Source organism: Homo sapiens, chromosome 19 (genome assembly GCF_000001405.40).
Source record: "Homo sapiens chromosome 19, GRCh38.p14 Primary Assembly".
NCBI lineage: Eukaryota > Metazoa > Chordata > Mammalia > Primates > Hominidae > Homo > Homo sapiens.
Window position 1 is genome coordinate 22,575,933 of NC_000019.10, and position 17,975 is coordinate 22,593,907.

Here is a 17,975-nt window from a genome sequence, read left to right on the forward strand (position 1 = left end):
AAGGTAGGCTCGAGCGTGGTTATTGAGGACAAGTCGACGAGAGATCCCGAGTACATCTACAATCAGCCTTACGGTAAGCTCGTGCGCTCAGAAGCTAGGGTGACAATGGGGCAAACTCAAAGTAAAACTAAAAGTAAATATGCCTCTTATCTCAGCTTTATTAAAATTCTTTTAAAAAGAGGGGGAGTTAGAGTATCCACAAAAAAAAATCTAATCAATCTATTTCAAACAATAGAACAATTTTGCCCATGGTTTCCAGAACAAGGAACTTTAGATCTAAAAGATTAGAAAAGAATTGGTAAAGAACTAAAACAAGCAGGTAGGGAGGGTAATATCATCCCACTTATAGTATGGAATGATTGGGCCATTATTAAAGCAGCTTTAGAACCATTTCAAACAGAAGAAGATAGCGTTTCAGTTTCTGATGCCCCTGGAAGCTGTGTAATAGATTGTAAAGAAAAGACAGGGAGAAAATCCCAGAGAGAAACAGAAAGTTTACATTGCGAATATGTAGCAGAGCCGGTAATGGCTCAGTCAACGCAAAGTGTTGACTATAATCAATTACAGGAGGTGATATATCCTGAAACGTTAAAATTAGAAGGAAAAGGTTCAGAATTAGTGGGGCCATCAGAGTCTAAACCACGAGGGCCATGTCCTCTTCCAGCAGGTCAGATGCCCGTAATATTACAACCTCAAACGCAGTTTAGAGAAAATAAGACCCAACCGCCAGTAGCTTATCAATAATGGCCGCCAGCCAAACTTCAGTATCGGCCACCCCCAGAAAGTCAGTATGGATATCCAGGAACGCTCCCAGCACCACAGGGCAGGGCGCCATACCCTCAGCCACCCACTAGGAGACTTAATCCTATGGTACCACCTAGTAGACAGGGTAGTGAATTACCAGAAATTATTGATAAGTCAAGAAAGGAAGGAGATATTGAGGCATGGCAATTCCCAATAATGTTAGAACCACCTGGAGAAGGAGCCCAAGAGGGAGAGCCTCTCACAGTTGAGGCCAGATACAAGTCTTTTTCGATAAAAATGCTAAAAGATATGAAAGAGGGAGTAAAACAGTATGGACCCAACTCTCCTTATATGAGGACATTATTAGATTCCATTGCTCATGGACATAGACTCATTCCTTATGATTGGGAGATTCTGGCAAAATCGTCTCTCTCACCCTCTCAATTTTTACAATTTAAGACTTGGTGGATTGATGGGGCACAAGAACATGTCTGAAGAAATAGGGCTGCCAATCCTCCAGTTAACATAGATGCAGATCAACTATTAGGAACAGGTCAAAATTGGAGCACTATTAGTCAACAAGCATTAATGCAAAATGAGGCCATTGAGCAAGTTAGAGCTATCTGCCTTAGAGCCTGGGAAAAAATCCAAGACCCAGGAACTGCCTGCCCCTCATTTAATACAGTAAGACAAGGTTCAAAAGAGCCCTACCCTGATTTGGTGGCAAGGCTACAAGATGTTGCTCAAAAGTCAATTGCTGATGAAAATGCCTGTAAGGTCATAGTGGAGTTGATGGCATACGAAAACGCCAATCCTGAGTGTCAATCAGCCATTAAGCCATTAAAAGGAAAGGTTCCCGCAGGATCAGATGTAATCTCAGGTATGTAAAAGCCTGTGATGGAACTGGAGGAGCTAGCATAAAGCTATACTTATGGCTCAAGCAATAGCGGGAGTTGTTTTAGGAGGACAAGTTAGAACATTTGGAGGGAAATGTTATAATTGTGGTCAAATTGGTCATTTAAAAAGAATTGTCCAGTCTCAAGTAAACAGAATATAACTATTCAAGCTACTACGACAACAGGTAAAAAGCCACCTGACTTATGTCCAACATGTAAAAAAGGAAAACATTGGGCTAGTCAATGTCGTTCTAAATTTGATAGAAATGAGCAACCATTGTCGGGAAACAAGCAAAGGGGCTAGCCTCAGGCCCCACAACAAACTGGGGCATTCCCAATTCAGCCCTTTGTTCCTCAAGGGTTTTCAGGGACAACAACCCCCACTGTCCCAAGTACCTCAGGGAATAAGCCAGTTACCACAATACAACAATTGTCCCCCACCACAAGCAACAGTGCAGCAGTAGATTTATGTACTATACAAGCAGTCTGTCTGCTTCCAGGGGAACCCCCACAAAAAATCCCCACAGGGGTATACGGCCCGCTGCCTGAGGGGACTGTAGGACTTGTCTTGGGAAGATCAAGTCTAAATCCAAAGGGAGTTCAAATTCATACTGGTGTGGTTGATTCAGACTATAAAGGTGAAATTCAATTGATTATTAGCTCTTCAATTCCTTGCAGTGCCAGTCCAGGAGACAGGATTTCTCAATTATTACTCTTGACTTACATTAAGGTTGGAAATAGTGAGATAAAAAGAACAGGAGGATTTGGAAGCACGGATCTGACAGGAAAGGCTGCATATTGGGCAAGTCATGTCTCAGAGAACAGAACTGTGTGTAAGGCCGTTATTCAAGGAAAACAGTTTGAAGGATTAGTAGACACTGGACCAGATGTCTCTATCATTGCCTTAAATCAGTGGCCAAAAAATTGGCCTAAACAAAAGGTTGTTACGGGGCTTGTCAGCATAGGCACAGCCTCAGAAGTGTATCAAAGTACTAGGATTTTACATTGTTTAGGGCCAGATAATCAAGAAAGTACTTCCCATGCTAAAAAACATTTATTATCTTGTTTTGCTGTAATGGGAGTTCCAGAAAAAATTAAAACTGACAATGGACCAGGATATTGTAGTAAAGCTTTCCAAAAATTCTTACATCAGTGGAAAATTTCACATACAACAGGAATTCCCTATAATTCCCAAGGACAGGTCATAGTTGAAAGAACTAATTGAACACTCAAAACTCAATTAGTTAAACAAAAAGAAGGGGGAGACAGTAAGGAGTGTGCTACTCCTCAGAGGCAACTTAATCTAGCACTCTATACTTTAAATTTTTTAAACATTTATAGAAATCAGACTACTACTTCTGCAGAACAACATCTTACTGGTAAAAAGAACAGCCCACATGAAGGAAAACTGATTTGGTGGAAAGATAATAAAAATAAGACATGGGAAATAGGGAAGGTGATAACGTGGGGGAGAGGTTTTGCTTGTGTTTCACGAGGAGAAAATCAGCTTCCTGTTTGGATGCCCACTAGACATTTGAAGTTCTACAATGAACCCATCGGAGATGAAAAGAAAAGCGCCTCCATGGAGATGGAAACACCACTCACATGGATGGATAATCCTATTGAAGTATATGTTAATGATAGTGTATGGGTACATGGCCCCACAGATGATCGCTGCCCTGCCAAACCTGAGGAAGAAGGGATGATGACAAATATTTCCACTGGGTATCATTATCCTCCTATTTGCCTAGGGAGAGCACTAGGATGCTTAATGCCTGCAGTCCAAAATTGGTTGGTAGAAGTACCTACTGTCAGTCCCATCAGTAGATTCACTTATCACATGGTAAGTGGGATGTCACTCAGGCCACGGGTAAATAATTTACAAGACTTTCCTTATCAAAGATCATTAAAATTTAGACCTAAAGGGCAACCTTGCCCCGAGGAAATTCCCAAAGGATCAAAAAATACAGAAGTTTTAGTTTGGGAAGAATGTGTGGCCAATAGTTCAGTAATATTACAAAACAATGAATTCAGAACTATTATAGATTGGACATCTGGAGGTCAATTCTACCACAATTGCTCAGGGCAAACTCAGTCGTGACCCAGTGCACAAGTGAGTCCAGCTGTTGATAGCGACTTAACAGAAAGTTTAAACATTTCTGGTCATGAACATCCAAAATTATGGAGGCTTACTGTAGCCTCATACCACATTAGGATTTGATCTGGAAATCAAACTTTAGAAACAAGAGATCATAAGCCATTTTATACTATCGATCTAAATTCCAGTCTAACGGTTCCTTTACAAAGTTTCATAAAGCCCCCTTATATGCTAGTTGTAGGAAATATAGTTATTAAACCAGACTTTCAAACTATAACCTGTGAAAACTGTAGATTGATTACTTACATTGATTCAACTTTTAATTGGCAGCACCGTATTCTGCTGGTGAGAGCAAGAGAAGGCGTGTGGATCCCTGTGTCCATGGACCGACCATGGGAGGCCTCGCCATCCATCCATATTTTGACTGAAGTATTAAAAGGCATTTTAAATAGATCCAAAAGATTCATTTTTACTTTAATTGCAGTGATTATGGGATTAATTGCAGTCACAGCTACGGCTGCTGTGGCAGGAGTTGCGTTGCACTCTTCTGTTCAGTCAGTAAACTTTGTTAATGATTGGCAAAAGAATTCCACAAGATTGTGGAATTCACAATCTGGTATTGATCAAAAATTGGCAAATCAAATTAATGATCTTAGACAAACTGTCATTTGGGTGGGAGACAGACTCATGAGCTTAGAACATCATTTCCAGTTACGATGTGACTGGAATATCTCAGATTTTTGTATTACACCCCAAATTTATAATGAGTCTGAGCATCACTGGGACATGGTTAGATGCCATCTACAGGGAGGAGAAGATAATCTCACTTTAGACATTTCCAAATTAAAAGAACAAATTTTCAAAACATCAAAAGCCCATTTAAATTTGGTGCCGGGAACTGAGGCAATCGCAGGAGTTGCTGCTGGCCTCTCAAATCTTAACCCTGTCACTTGGGTTAAGACCATTGGAAGTACTACTATTATAAATTTCATATTAATCCTTGTGTGGCTGTTTTGTCTGTTGTTACTCTGCAGGTGTACCCAACAGCTCCGAAGAGACAGCGACCATCCAGAACGGGCCATGATGACGATGGTGGTTTTGTCGAAAAGAAAAGGGGGAAATGTAGGGAAAAGAAAGAGAGATCAGATTGCTACTGTGTCTGTGTAGAAAGAAGTAGACATAGGAGACTCCATTTTGTTCTGTACTAAGAAAAATTCTTCAGCCTTGAGATGCTATTAATCTGTAACCCTACCCCCAACCCTGTGCTCCCTGAGACATGTGCTGTGTCAACTCAGGGTTAAATGGATTAAGGGCTGTGCAGGATGTGCTTTGTTAAACAGATGCTTGAAGGCAGCATGCTCCTTAAGGGTCATCACCACTCCCTAATCTCAAGTACCCAGGGACACAAACACTGTGGAAGGCTGCAGGGACCTCTGCCTAGGAAAGCCAGGTATTGTCCAAGGTTTCTCCCCATGTGATAGTCTGAAATATGGCCTCGTGGGAAGGGAAAGACCTGACCGTCCCCCAGCCCGACACCCGTAAAGGGTCTGTGATGAGGAGGATTAGTATAAGAGGAAGGAATGCCTCTTTGCAGTTGAGACAAGAGGAAGGCATCTGTCTCCTGCCTGTCCCTGGGCAATGGAATGTCTCAGTATAAAACCCGATTGTATGTTCCATCTACTGAGATAGGGGAAAACAGCCTTAGGGCTAGAGGTGGGACATGCGGGCAGGAATACTGCTCTTTAAGGCATTGAGATGTTTATGTATATACATATCTAAAGCACAGCACTTAATTCTTTACCTTGTCTATGATGCAGAGACCTTTGTTCACGTGTTTACCTGCTGACCTTCTCTCCACTATTATCCTATGACCCTGCCACATCCCCCTCTCCGAGAAACACCCAATAATGATCAATAAATACTAAGGGAACTCAGAGGCTGGTGGGATCCTCCGTATGCTGAACGCTGGTCCCCTGGGCCCCCTTATTTCTTTCTCTATACTTTGTCTCTGTGTCTTTTTCTTTTCCAAGTCTCTCGTTCCACCTAACGAGAAACACCCACAGGTGTGGAAGGGCAACCCACCCCTTCATGTAATGTCCATTTAAATCCATAATAAATGGTATGCCCAGCCTGGCACGGGCTATTGATGAGTCTTTTGAGGGCTGGCATACATGCAACCCACTCACCTTACCCTTACCTCCTTGCCAACTTCCCTGTATTGCCTTATTACTCAGTCAGACTACACCCAGTCTCAGAAAAACAAGGAAAAGTGAAGGAAACATTGTCGATGACTGAGTCAGGGGTTAATTGGTCTCTTATCATTTAAACATGAAGGAAAGAATGTGAAAGAAGAAAATGATAGACAAGTAAAATTCTCTAGATCAATCCTGGAGATAATTGTGTAAAACTTTGCCAAGTATTTACCTAGTTACAAGTGCTAATCACTTTCACGTAAAAAGCCTTAATAAACTCTACACAGCACATTATTTTGAATCCACTAAAATCTAAATCTGAACTGTGTTAGATCTCTTCTTTCTAAAAAGTTTGATATACAGACCTGTATTACATTTAAAGAACACTGTGAGAAATTCAAAAATACTGAGACATTGATGAGCTGGGCACTTGGCTCAGGCTCCTATGAGACTTACGATTTCAAATTTGCTCCATCAGGCTAATTAAAGGGAGCCTGAAAAAAAAGCAAAATGGACTAAATTGGGAAGTCTTAGGATATATTTTAAGCTGGGTTATTTAACCATCTCTTGTTTGAAAGAAATCTAGTAATAAGAATGAAAATTGTGTAATGGATTTTTTTTTTTGTAGGCATCTTGTTTTTATTGAACAGATAGACTCTATTGATTTTGATCATAAAATAAATTTCTATAAGGGAAAGACTATTTTCCCTCACTGACCTCTATTCTAAATCAGAGAAGTAGTCCCAGAGAAAAATAATAATACGATGGTAAGTGAGAATAGCATCTCCTTTCAAAAAAATATAACTCAAGAAGGGCCTACAACTACCTTTCTCCTAGATCATAATGTTACAGTCTAAGAGGTAGGGTTTTCTAATGTATTTCCACCATATATTACACAAGTAAAATTTAATTTGGAGCAATAGGTTCTATTCTCTGGATGAGGTAATCCTACCATTGATTTATTCAGTAAATATTTTTATAATGTCTAATAACACCGTGTACTTGAGGAAATTAAATAAATTAGGTTCTTGACAGTCTCTATATAGCAAACACACAGTGGAATGTCAAATAAACAATATTTATTAAATATATACAATATAAATTCAGTATTATTCCAAGACTGTAGGGTTGGTGGAAGAAGTACGGAGAAATAAAAGAAGATTGAGTTCTTAGATTATGAAATTAACAAACTTGAATATCATGCAGTATTTTTTGGAGGCATCATGTACAGATTGAAGAATCCCATCAGGTGTTTAGCAAAATGAATGAAAAGTAAAGAGCATAATATAAAATAAAAGGTCAAATTTAATTATCCATATATATTATATTAATAAATAAATGGTATAGAAATCACCTATTATAACACAAAGACTCTCAGAGTGGACACAGAGTAAAATATAAGTAAATGTAGCATATGAGTCATTTACAACAAAGTGACTTATAAAGCCCTTTAGAAATTTTAAAATATGGTTCCTGAAATTAAAAAATAATAATAATACCATGGTTGGAAGATAAAGTCAAGGTACCATGATAAAATTAAAGGAAAATGAAAATGCTCAATAAATGTCCAGGTCATTGAATTAAAACACACACACATACACACATACACACACACACACGAAAGTAGGTCAAATTCAAAGGTACCAGACAACAGATATTCTAATAACAACATGGGCTGCTAAAATACAAAGAAGTGCTTTCAAAATTCCAGGAGAAAATAATTTCAATTTCAATTTCTGGAATCAAATGTGGTAGAATGAAGTATTTTGGTGTCTCATAAAATCTATCTCCTACGTACACTTTCTTAGAAAACTACTGGTAGATGTAATACAGTAAAGCAATGGCTTAAACTAAGAAAGAGGAAGACATGTTTTCCAAACATAATAGCTCCAACTACAAAGCCTAAATATGTCCTAGGATGACACCAGGGCAGCAAGGCTAGAGAGAAACCAGCACAAATTGGAGAAGGGTGGAAGATTTCAGGAAAGAGGACTTCAGGAATTGTTAAAATAGATGATATGATAAAACATTCTGATACAATTAAGGATATACGGAAAACAATAAGAGAATCAACAACAGTGATAATGGTTAACGTATATCGAACTAATTGTTAAAATAGATGATATAATTAAACATTCCAATATAATTAAGGATATATGGAAAACAAGAGAAACAACAGTGATAATGGCTAACATACATTGGTAGAGAGAATTATGCAACTAAAAACATTATACAAGGACTCAATTATTAAATTTAGGGAAAAATGCTTTATAAAATGGAAAAATGATTTGGCATACACTAGTTGCGCCTACCATTACCAAAATACATATAGTAATAATAAGATGAGTAATGATAGATTTAACTAAAAATACTGAGGTCACTGACTTTAGGAAGATGGTATGAAGAAAAGAATGGAATTTGAAAGAGCAATGTTTTCATTTATTGTAATAGGAAATTAATATATAATGTCCAGAATTGGTAATTCAAATAAAAGCAATGTAAGAATATTGTTTCTAAATGTTAAAACAACTACCAGAAGAAACAGTTAAGAGTTAAAGGGATTGCCACACAGAGTATGACTGTGTATCAGACTGGGTTTTTGTAAAAATTATAAAACCGCCAGAGATAATTTACTTTTTAAAATTATTAAATGTACTTGGTTTATTTAAAATGTTTAGTAAAGTAAAAGGTATGCATTACAAAATAAAGAAAGAACTAAGTGGTACTTTCAAAGATCTCCATTACTTAAAACACTTGCTCCAGCTGTTTTTACTCTATGACATACACTGAAGTGTGTTTGCTAATTCCTGAGGTATAAATAGTCCCATTACAGTTTATTTCAAGCTACTAACATGACATCACAGAATGTGGAGTTGAGAAGAGATGCAAAGTAACACACCATTATTATAGTAACTTCATCATACAGATACAGTAAATGTGAATAACCTTAAGAGCACAGATAATACCAAAATATAGTAAAATTATTAGGAAATGATGAGTTTTGTGTATCTATTAACTTTATTTTTAATATAATTTATTTGTTTATAAAATTTAGTTTTTTAATGGTTGTATGGAAAGCATGTAAAGTTTTCAGAAATTTAACAATCGTCCCTCAGAAGCCTATATGAGCCAGCTTCAGCTTACAGCTAATATTGAGATGCCCACCATATTCCTGTGGAGTGGGATGGGATATTAGCTGGCTGGCTGGCTGGCTGGATGGATGGATAAATGGATGGATGGATGGATGGATGGATGGATGGATGGATGGATGGATGGATGGATGATTAGTCAAAATGTAACTAACAGAAATGATTAACCACCCAATAGGCAATTCTCAGGACTGAGTTTCCTCTTCTGTGATTAATACCTTAAAATTCAAAGACAACCTACCCATAATGATAGTCGCTCTGTGTGGTGGCTTTAGTCAAGCGTTGTTCATTGTTGTTTTATAAAAAGCACAATTGGTTATTTTCTGACACTTTTGGCCACATTTTTTTTTTTTTTTTTTTTTTGAGACGGAGTCTCGCTCTGTCGCCTAGGCCGGACTGCGGACTGCAGTGGCGCAATCTCGGCTCACTGCAAGCTCCGCTTCCCGGGTTCACGCCATTCTCCTGCCTCAGCCTCCCGAGTAGCTGGGACTACAGGCGCCCGCCACCGCGCCCGGCTAATTTTTTTTTTTTGTATTTTTAGTAGAGACGGGGTTTCACCTTGTTAGCCAGGATGGTCTCGATCTCCTGACCTCATGATCCACCCGCCTCGGCCTCCCAAAGTGCTGGGATTACAGGCGTGAGCCACCGCGCCCGGCCGGCCACATTTACATAAAGTAAAATTTGGATGTTTCATCAAGTAGAATATCAACAAATCTAAAGAAATTATCAATAATTATCAGTTACCATAAATCTGGGCCTAGAGTGAATATTTACCTGAATTACCTGATGAAACTATGTTAGAATTAAGTTCTTCAAGTAAATTACAAGCACTTGTGGGCAGATTTTGTGTCTGGTTTGTTTTTCTAACTTCCTTAGCACCAATACAATGTTTAAAACTAGATTGGAATATACCACTCAATATTACAGTTATTTTTATGTTTTTGTCTTCTGATAACTATGGGATCTACTTGAGGGTGAAATTTTCATCTTGTCAAATCTATACACCAATGCCTAGTTTATATTAACCTCTCACTAAATATTAGTTCGGTTAGATTGAAGAGTGTCCAATACATATATATTGAATTAAATTAATTAGACTAGATCAGAATTTAATTTGATGTCATCTTAGCATAATCCTAAAAAAGCTATCAAACAGGCTAAGTTTTGTGTCATTAGGTAGTATAATGTATACAAGGGTGGATTCAAATTCCAGCTCATTTCTTATGAGCTTCCAGATCTTCATCAAGTATGTAATCTCTATAAACTTCATTTTCCCCACGCTAACAAGTAGATAATATGGTTGTTATGATTAAATCCATACAAAGTACTTAGCATAATACCTGGCACACAGTAAGCTCTTAATAAATGTTTGCTGTTATATTGCTATGCTTTATGCTCTAGATAAATCTGAAATGTGCTTATAATATATGATTTGCCTGAAGGGTGACCTAGGTCTTTAAAACAGTGACACATTTGCAATTGACCATCACAGGGCTTCTCACAAAATTGAACTTTATAATGCCATCGGATTGTCATAGTTTCCCTTCTAGAAAGGGAACCTATGATTCATTAAGCTAAATCAAGACTAAGTATCAAGTGACTATTGCCTTTTGATTTGTTTTCTTGCCTTAGGTTTGCCTTGATGATCTGGCATGTTAATAGAAGCCACGTATTGGTCTCTGTGTTATCTCATTGGATTTCCTGCCGACCATGGAGATTGACGGGTTTTATTAGCCCTCACAGGAAAACTGATTCTCAAAGTCAAAAATCTCAAGCATAGAATACAAGATATGGACCCATCGATCCCCACTACAAAAAGCCTTTCCTAGTACAGACTACTGCCTCTCAAAGATTGCGTTTCTCATCTCACTTTTCTTACCAAGATTTCTCCCTTGAAAAATCCAGGGAAATCAATTATGTGTGTTCATTCCTGATCCTCAGTTGTTAACATAAAGTTGTATACTGAGGCAAATTTAAAACATAGCTGAAAATCCTTTGACATTGATACGGTTTGACTCTGTGTCCCCAAACAAATCTCACCTCGAATTGTAATTCCCATAATCCCACATGTCAAGGGCGGGACCAAGTGGAGGTAATTGGATCATGAGGGTGGTTTCTCCCATGCTGTTCTTGTGATAGTGAGTGAGTTCTCACAAGATCTGATGGTTTTATGGGCATCTGGCATTTCCCCTGCTTGCACTCACTGACTCTGTCCTGCCACTCTGTGAAGAAGGTGCCTTGCTTCCCCTTCACCTTCTGCTATGATTGTAAGTTTCCTGAGGCCTCCCCAGCCATGCTGAACTGTGAGTCAATTATACCGTTTTCCTTTATAAATTACTCACCCCCACCTACCACCTTTTAGATAATGCTGTGGGACATAAAGACTTAGAATTCTCTCTTCAAAGGGCTTGGATATGGCTTCCAGGGTTCATGTTTCTCTCCTCCAGTTCTGTCTTTCATGGTGAGCCATGTATAGAGAGCGCACAACTAGAGGCCCTGTGGGCCAATGCAAAGCTGTTTACCAGAGGTACAGTGGTAGACTGAGCTTGGACATATCCACAGAGGTACCCAAAATGTGTACACACAAGGCCTGTCATGGTGTGAGACCACATTGGGGGACCAGCTCTCCCCATGCCCTTATATTCTGGTACTGGACTTTGAGGGCCCAAGAATTCCAGCTCTAAACTTGAATTTCATTAGGAAGCTACATGTGTCAAAGTGGGAAAACAAAGCATACTTAACAGTTTGTTAACATGATTTATAACTTTTAAATATTTAAACATGTACTATATAGGTTTTTATTATTATTCTTGCCCTAGGCCTTAAGAATGTTAAGTGTAAGACAATTAAATACTTTATTAGATATAAGAATGCAAGCACAGATACTCAGAAACTTAAATATAAGTCTCAAACTAGTCCTTACTTTTAAAAAATAATGATATATTCCATTTAACATCATATTTAGAGTGGATCCATTATGGCATCATGACATCTTTGCTGGTTCAGTTACAATTGAACAAAGTATTGGGCCTGACATCAACACTATTTCTCAAAATGCTAAAGATATAAAAGTGTGGGACAGATATGTCTTATGCTTATTTTGTAACATAACTATTCATTGCATATATCCAAACATCACTACATACTCCATAAGATTTAGTCTTATTTACAATTATTTAGTTGTTTACCTAATATTTGCTATGTAATACACACACACAGGCACACACCTACACACACATATGTGCACACATACACACATGTGCACACATATATATTTCAAATACAAACCATAAGAAGCAGCCAGGATGAATCCAGAGGACATTATGTTAAGCAAAATAAGCTAAGAACAGAAAGTTAAATAGTGCATGTTCTCACCGTATGTGGATGCTAAAAAATAGAAGATCTCATGGAAGGAAAAAGTAGAACAGAGGATACTAGAGGCTGGAGAGGTGGGTGAGAGATGGATAAGGAGAGATTTGTCAAAAAATACAAAATTACAGCTAGACAGGAGAAATAAGTTCTAGTGTTCTATAGCACTGTGAGATGACTATAGTTGACAATAATATATAGCTTCAAATTGCTAGAAGGAGTATATTGAATGTTCCCATCACAAAGAAATGATAAATGTTTGACATGATGCATATGCTAATTAATCTCTTAACTATTCATTGTATGTATCCGAACATCACTACATACCCCATAAATATGTACAATTATTATATGTCAATTAAAAAAATAAAATAATTAAGAAAAAATTGCAAAAGATTAAATAACTGTAACAGTAGATTTGTGCTCTCAAATATTAAAGCATTCTATAAATTTACATAGAATGGGGGTAGATATATAAAAATTAAAAATAATTGAAATGGAATCTGGGTGATAGATTGACAATACTACTCTTAATATTAAGAATAGTATAGCTGAACCAAAGTTTAACATGTTCAAACCTTTACATAAATGTATCCTCTCTAAACGATTTGACCCTGCTTATGGATAATTAAGGTTGTAATATTTTGGACATAAACGCCTGTTTACTTATACCAGAATATATCAGCAATTATAATTAAAATGATCTTACATATTATTTGTCATATCAGGACTCATACTATTTTTATTATGCTGAAGGTATATGGTGAATTTTTTATTTTTTTTTTTTGAGATGGAATCTCGCTTTGTTGCCAGGCTGGGGTGCAATGGCGCGATCTTGGCTCACTGCAACCTCTGCCTCCCAGGTTCAAGCAATTCTCCTTCCTCAGCCTCCCAAGTAGCTGGGATTACAGGCACATGCCATCACACTCAGCTAATTTTTGTATTTTTAGTAGAGATGAGGTTTCACCATGTTGGCCAGGCTAGTCTCAAACTCCTGACCTTGTGATCCACCCGCCTTGGCCTCCCAAAGTGCTGGGATTACAGGTGTGAGCCACTGCGCCTGGCCGCTTTTTTATCACTATGATTTACTCATCTACCTTTTTACAAAAAGAAAATGAGATCTCAGTAACAACTGGCAGCACTATGTTCCTCTGATGTATATGAAATATTTAAGTTCTAGGCTTGCTCAGGTATAAGCAGAGTATTCATAATGTCATCGTTTACATAAAGTATAAATGCACAACACCAGGAATACTTCAAAGACAAAAAGCAGAAATTATGCTTTAATGTATTATTACAGGAAATGTTGGTATCTTGTGCATTTGTGATTTGGAGCATTGAATGTTTATGACATGTTTCACTTGCCAATTTTCTGTCTTTATTTGGTAGCAGCCATTTATTCTTGAATCTTATTAATACATTTACATTCAGTGTATTGTTTATTTCATTTCATAAACTATGACACCTGAGCGAAAATGACTGGGTTTCTTAATCTGTACAAATCAGGGAGGACTTACAGGACATGGAAGCTGATTTGTACAGTATCCAAAGTATCCATTAGCAAGCAAGCTCATAGGGTTGTTGTAAGGATTAAAAGAGAAACCCTTATAGTCAATGCTACATATTATTATTATTATTATTTTTACTTTTTTTTTTTTTAGACAGAGTCTTGCTCAGTCACCAGGCTGGAGTGCAGTGGCATGCTCTCAGCTCACTGCAACCTCTGCCTCCCGGGTTCAAGCGATTCTCCCGCCTCAGCCTCCCGAGTAGCTGGGACTACAGGCGAGAGCCACCATGCCCAGCTAATTTTTGTATTTTTAGTAGAGATGGGGTTTCACCATGTTGGCCAGGATGGTCTCGATCTCTTGACCTCGTGATCCCCCCGCCTTGGCCTCCCAAAGTGCTGGGATTACAGGCATGAGCCACCGCACCCTGTCTTATCTCTTTTTTATAAACAAATATGAGATCTTTAAACGCATACTGTCTCTAGATTCCCTTGGTTGTGCTGTTTGTATATTTGGTGTCCCATGTGAAGTGCTTAGAACCAGACCTGATACTAAGCAAGAGCTTAATGGGTGATATTATTATTACTGCTGTTATTATGGTTCTGAAATTGTAGTTCTCTGGGTCAGTGGCTAAAAGTGGTTGGAGGAAGTCTTGTTAAAGTATAACAAAATTTACTATCTTTCCTGTTTGCAGGAAATCTGGAAAGTATTTGCCACTGATTAGGAAAGCTTTTTTTAGTATAATACATCCATCACTGAATGGGAAAGCAGGAAGGGGATCTGCCAATGATATGTAAGAAAATACTGTGGGTTAAAAAATTATCTTGGTGTGAAATACAGAGTTTTATGCGTTAACTTTTCTCTATTAATTCAGGAAATTGTTTTCTGGAAATAAATAACATTTACAGACAATTGAAAGTATTGATAGAACCACACAGTTGTTTCAAGCTATGTATGACCATCTATTAACATTCCGGGTGATAAATTTGGTCATAATTTTTATTTGTCATTGAGGATGCACCATCCAATGAGATTACCATTTAATGATTAAATATCCAATATGACTTATTTTATGAAATGATATAGCATTTCCTATTTAGTAAGGTAACACGGAAACTTATCTAGTATAAGACAAAAACCAGGCCCAATATATAAAATAATACATAATACTTGCTGTTAAAAGCTGAGAGAATCTTTCAGTACTGGAAGGCATTGCCTCTCTAAATTTAAGCCGAGAAATTGTTACCATAGCAACTCGCCTCTTATGTAGTTGTATTATTTTGTTCCCTTCATAAAAATTGCTATGTATTATCACTCTGTAAATAGAGACGATATGTTTAAATGCATATAATATCTGCTTTTCCTTAGTTGTGGAAAAGTTTATAATTCAGGTGAGTGACCATAGCAGAGAATGTCACCCAGGAACAGGAACATAGAGTGGGTTCTTGACATTTGTCTGGGGTACATCTGACAACCTTTACAAATTCCAAATTTGAGAATACTACTGTGGCACACCATTTTTCTGGAATTTCAATGTGCACCAAGAGGGGAGGAACATAAAGCTACATGCTCATGGAGATGTTGGGTTCCTCATTGGTTGCCCTTCCTGTACCAGCCAGCATCCTATTCTGGTGGACCAGCCTTGCACAGAGTTTGTCAATCACATTTGTATCCCAGCAACATTACACGTTACTTCGTGACATAAACCTGTGGGGTTGCTCAAGAAGAGAACTGAATCTGAAAATGCCTGAGTGACGACTAGATATGGAATTTGGCAGGGTACTGTTTAGAATGGGATCTAATCTCTGTTCTGCAGATTTAAAGTGCATTAAGGTTAAAGAATTTGACTAAGTCACAGAGTGTCTCAGTTTTTTCGTCTTCATGGTGTAGACGTTAGCTGAATGGACTGTGGAGCCTGACTCCTAGCAGTGGCATTTACTAGCTATGTCAACTTGGATAAGATACTTGGCATTTCTGTGCCTCTATTTCCACCTTTAAAATGGGAATTATGGGGAAGGAAGTGAGAGGGAGAGATATGTTAAAGCAGCGATCCTCAACCTTTTTGGCACCAGGGACTGGTTTTGTGGAAGACAAATTTTCCTTGGATGGGGATGGGGATGGTTTTGGGATGAAACTGTTTCACTTCAACTCATCAGGCGTTAGTTAGATTCTCATAAAGAGAACATAACCTGGACCCCTCCTATGTGCAGTTCACAATAGGGTTCACACTCCCACAAGAATCTAAAGCTGCAGCTGATCTGACAGGAGGTAGAGCTCAGGTGGGAATGCGGGCAATGGGGAGCAGCTGTGAACATAGATGAAGCTTCACTCACTCGCCCGCCCCCTGCTCACCTCCTGCTGTGTGGCCGGTTCCTAATAGGCCATAGACAGGGACTGGTCCATGGCCAGGAGGTTGGGGATCCCTGTGTTAAAGGATACAAAATTATAGCTAGATAGGGGAAATCAGTGCTAGGGTTCTATACCACAGTAGGGTGTCTACAGTTAACAATAATATGTGTTTCAAATAGCTAGAAGGAGGATATTAAATGCTCCCAACACAGAGAAATGATGGCTGTTGGAGATGCTGGATATCCTAATTTCCCCAATCTGATCTCTATACATTGTATGTAATAAAACATTACTATGTACCCCATGAATATGTACAATTATTATTTGTCAACTTAAAAAATGTCAAAAACCATACTAAATAAATAAAATGGGAATTATAATTTTACCTTATATGGCTGTAGTGCGAAAACCACGAGTGAATGCATAATGTACTCAATAAATGTTAGCCATGATCATAATGATAAATTTTACTCTGACCTTGAAAAATTCCCAAAGCTATGGTGACATTTTTATGAACAGGTAGCAGGGGAGTGTTTGCATGTGATCAAGGGTGAGTATAAAAGTATGTCTTTGGTATATATTCATTCATTTGGTCAATTGACATTCAAGAAGTATTTATTGAGTGTTAATTATCTGTTAGGCACTGAGAATACAACAGGAAACCAGGTATATTTAGTGCCTGTCACCAGAGAGATTATAGTTTAGAAAGGTATATCGAAAAATAAATACAAGATTATAAATAGTATGGTTAAGTTAGGGAAGGTACAGGGTGCTCCAGGAGGACAACGATATAAACACTAATGTGTTTTGAAATAAGATTTATAACTTTGCTACTCATCGTGTGTATCATGGACCAAGAGTACAGACATCACTTAGGAGCTTGTAAGGAATGCAGAATCTCAGGCTACGCCCTGCACCACTGAAATAGAATCTGCTTTTTAGCAAGATTTTTAGGTGATGTATACTGTATGCAATTAAAGTTTGAGAAGCACAGATTTTAAACAGAATGAGCAAAACCATAAGACAATTGAAGCATTTGTAAAATTACCTCAGGGCTAATTAAGAAAAAATATTTCTTGAGTACCTACTATGTGCAAGGCCTTGATGCAAGGTGGATAGAGTCTCAGCTGGGCAAGTGTTTGTGGATTCTCCATGGCTCAAGGCACATATAACAGCCCTAAGGAAAATAATCCATCCTGTGTGGTTCTTAGCTCCTGGGCCTGGCTCACTGACCACACACAGCTATTTGAAAAGTCTGGTTTTCAGAGAAGACTGTATTATGTAAAAATTAAGTCCTGTTTTAATAAACTTGAGACACTATCAAACCCTGAATTATATTCAACCTTCATGGAACGGGAGCATATAATATAACACAAGGAAGAGGCTTATATAATGAAATGTATTTAAAGTAATTGGTCTGTGGAAAGTTGCATTTGGAAACCACAAATTTAGAAGGAAGAAAGTAATACAGAAAGATATATCTTATTACTTCCAAATGCCCCTATGACTTGGATGTTATTGTTTCAAATTTAGGAATGAGGATGAGGAAACTGGGACATAGAGAGTTTGGAAACCTGCCTTGGGTTACACGAGTTGGGCCAGGATTTGAAGTGTTGCTCTGTGAGTGGCTGGTTTCAGGAGGGAAGTTCAGAATAGCTGAAGTGCATGATGTG

General features: G+C 38.0%; 1 annotated feature.

The window, feature by feature from the left end:
* Positions 4,226-4,752: an enhancer, noted in NCBI's record as "H3K27ac hESC enhancer chr19:22762960-22763486 (GRCh37/hg19 assembly coordinates)". NCBI's record gives its function as "activates a minimal SCP1, AML or CMV promoter by ChIP-STARR-seq in naive H9 embryonic stem cells {active_cell/tissue: H9 hESC(naive)}" and the evidence as "EXISTENCE:reporter gene assay evidence [ECO:0000049][PMID:30033119]".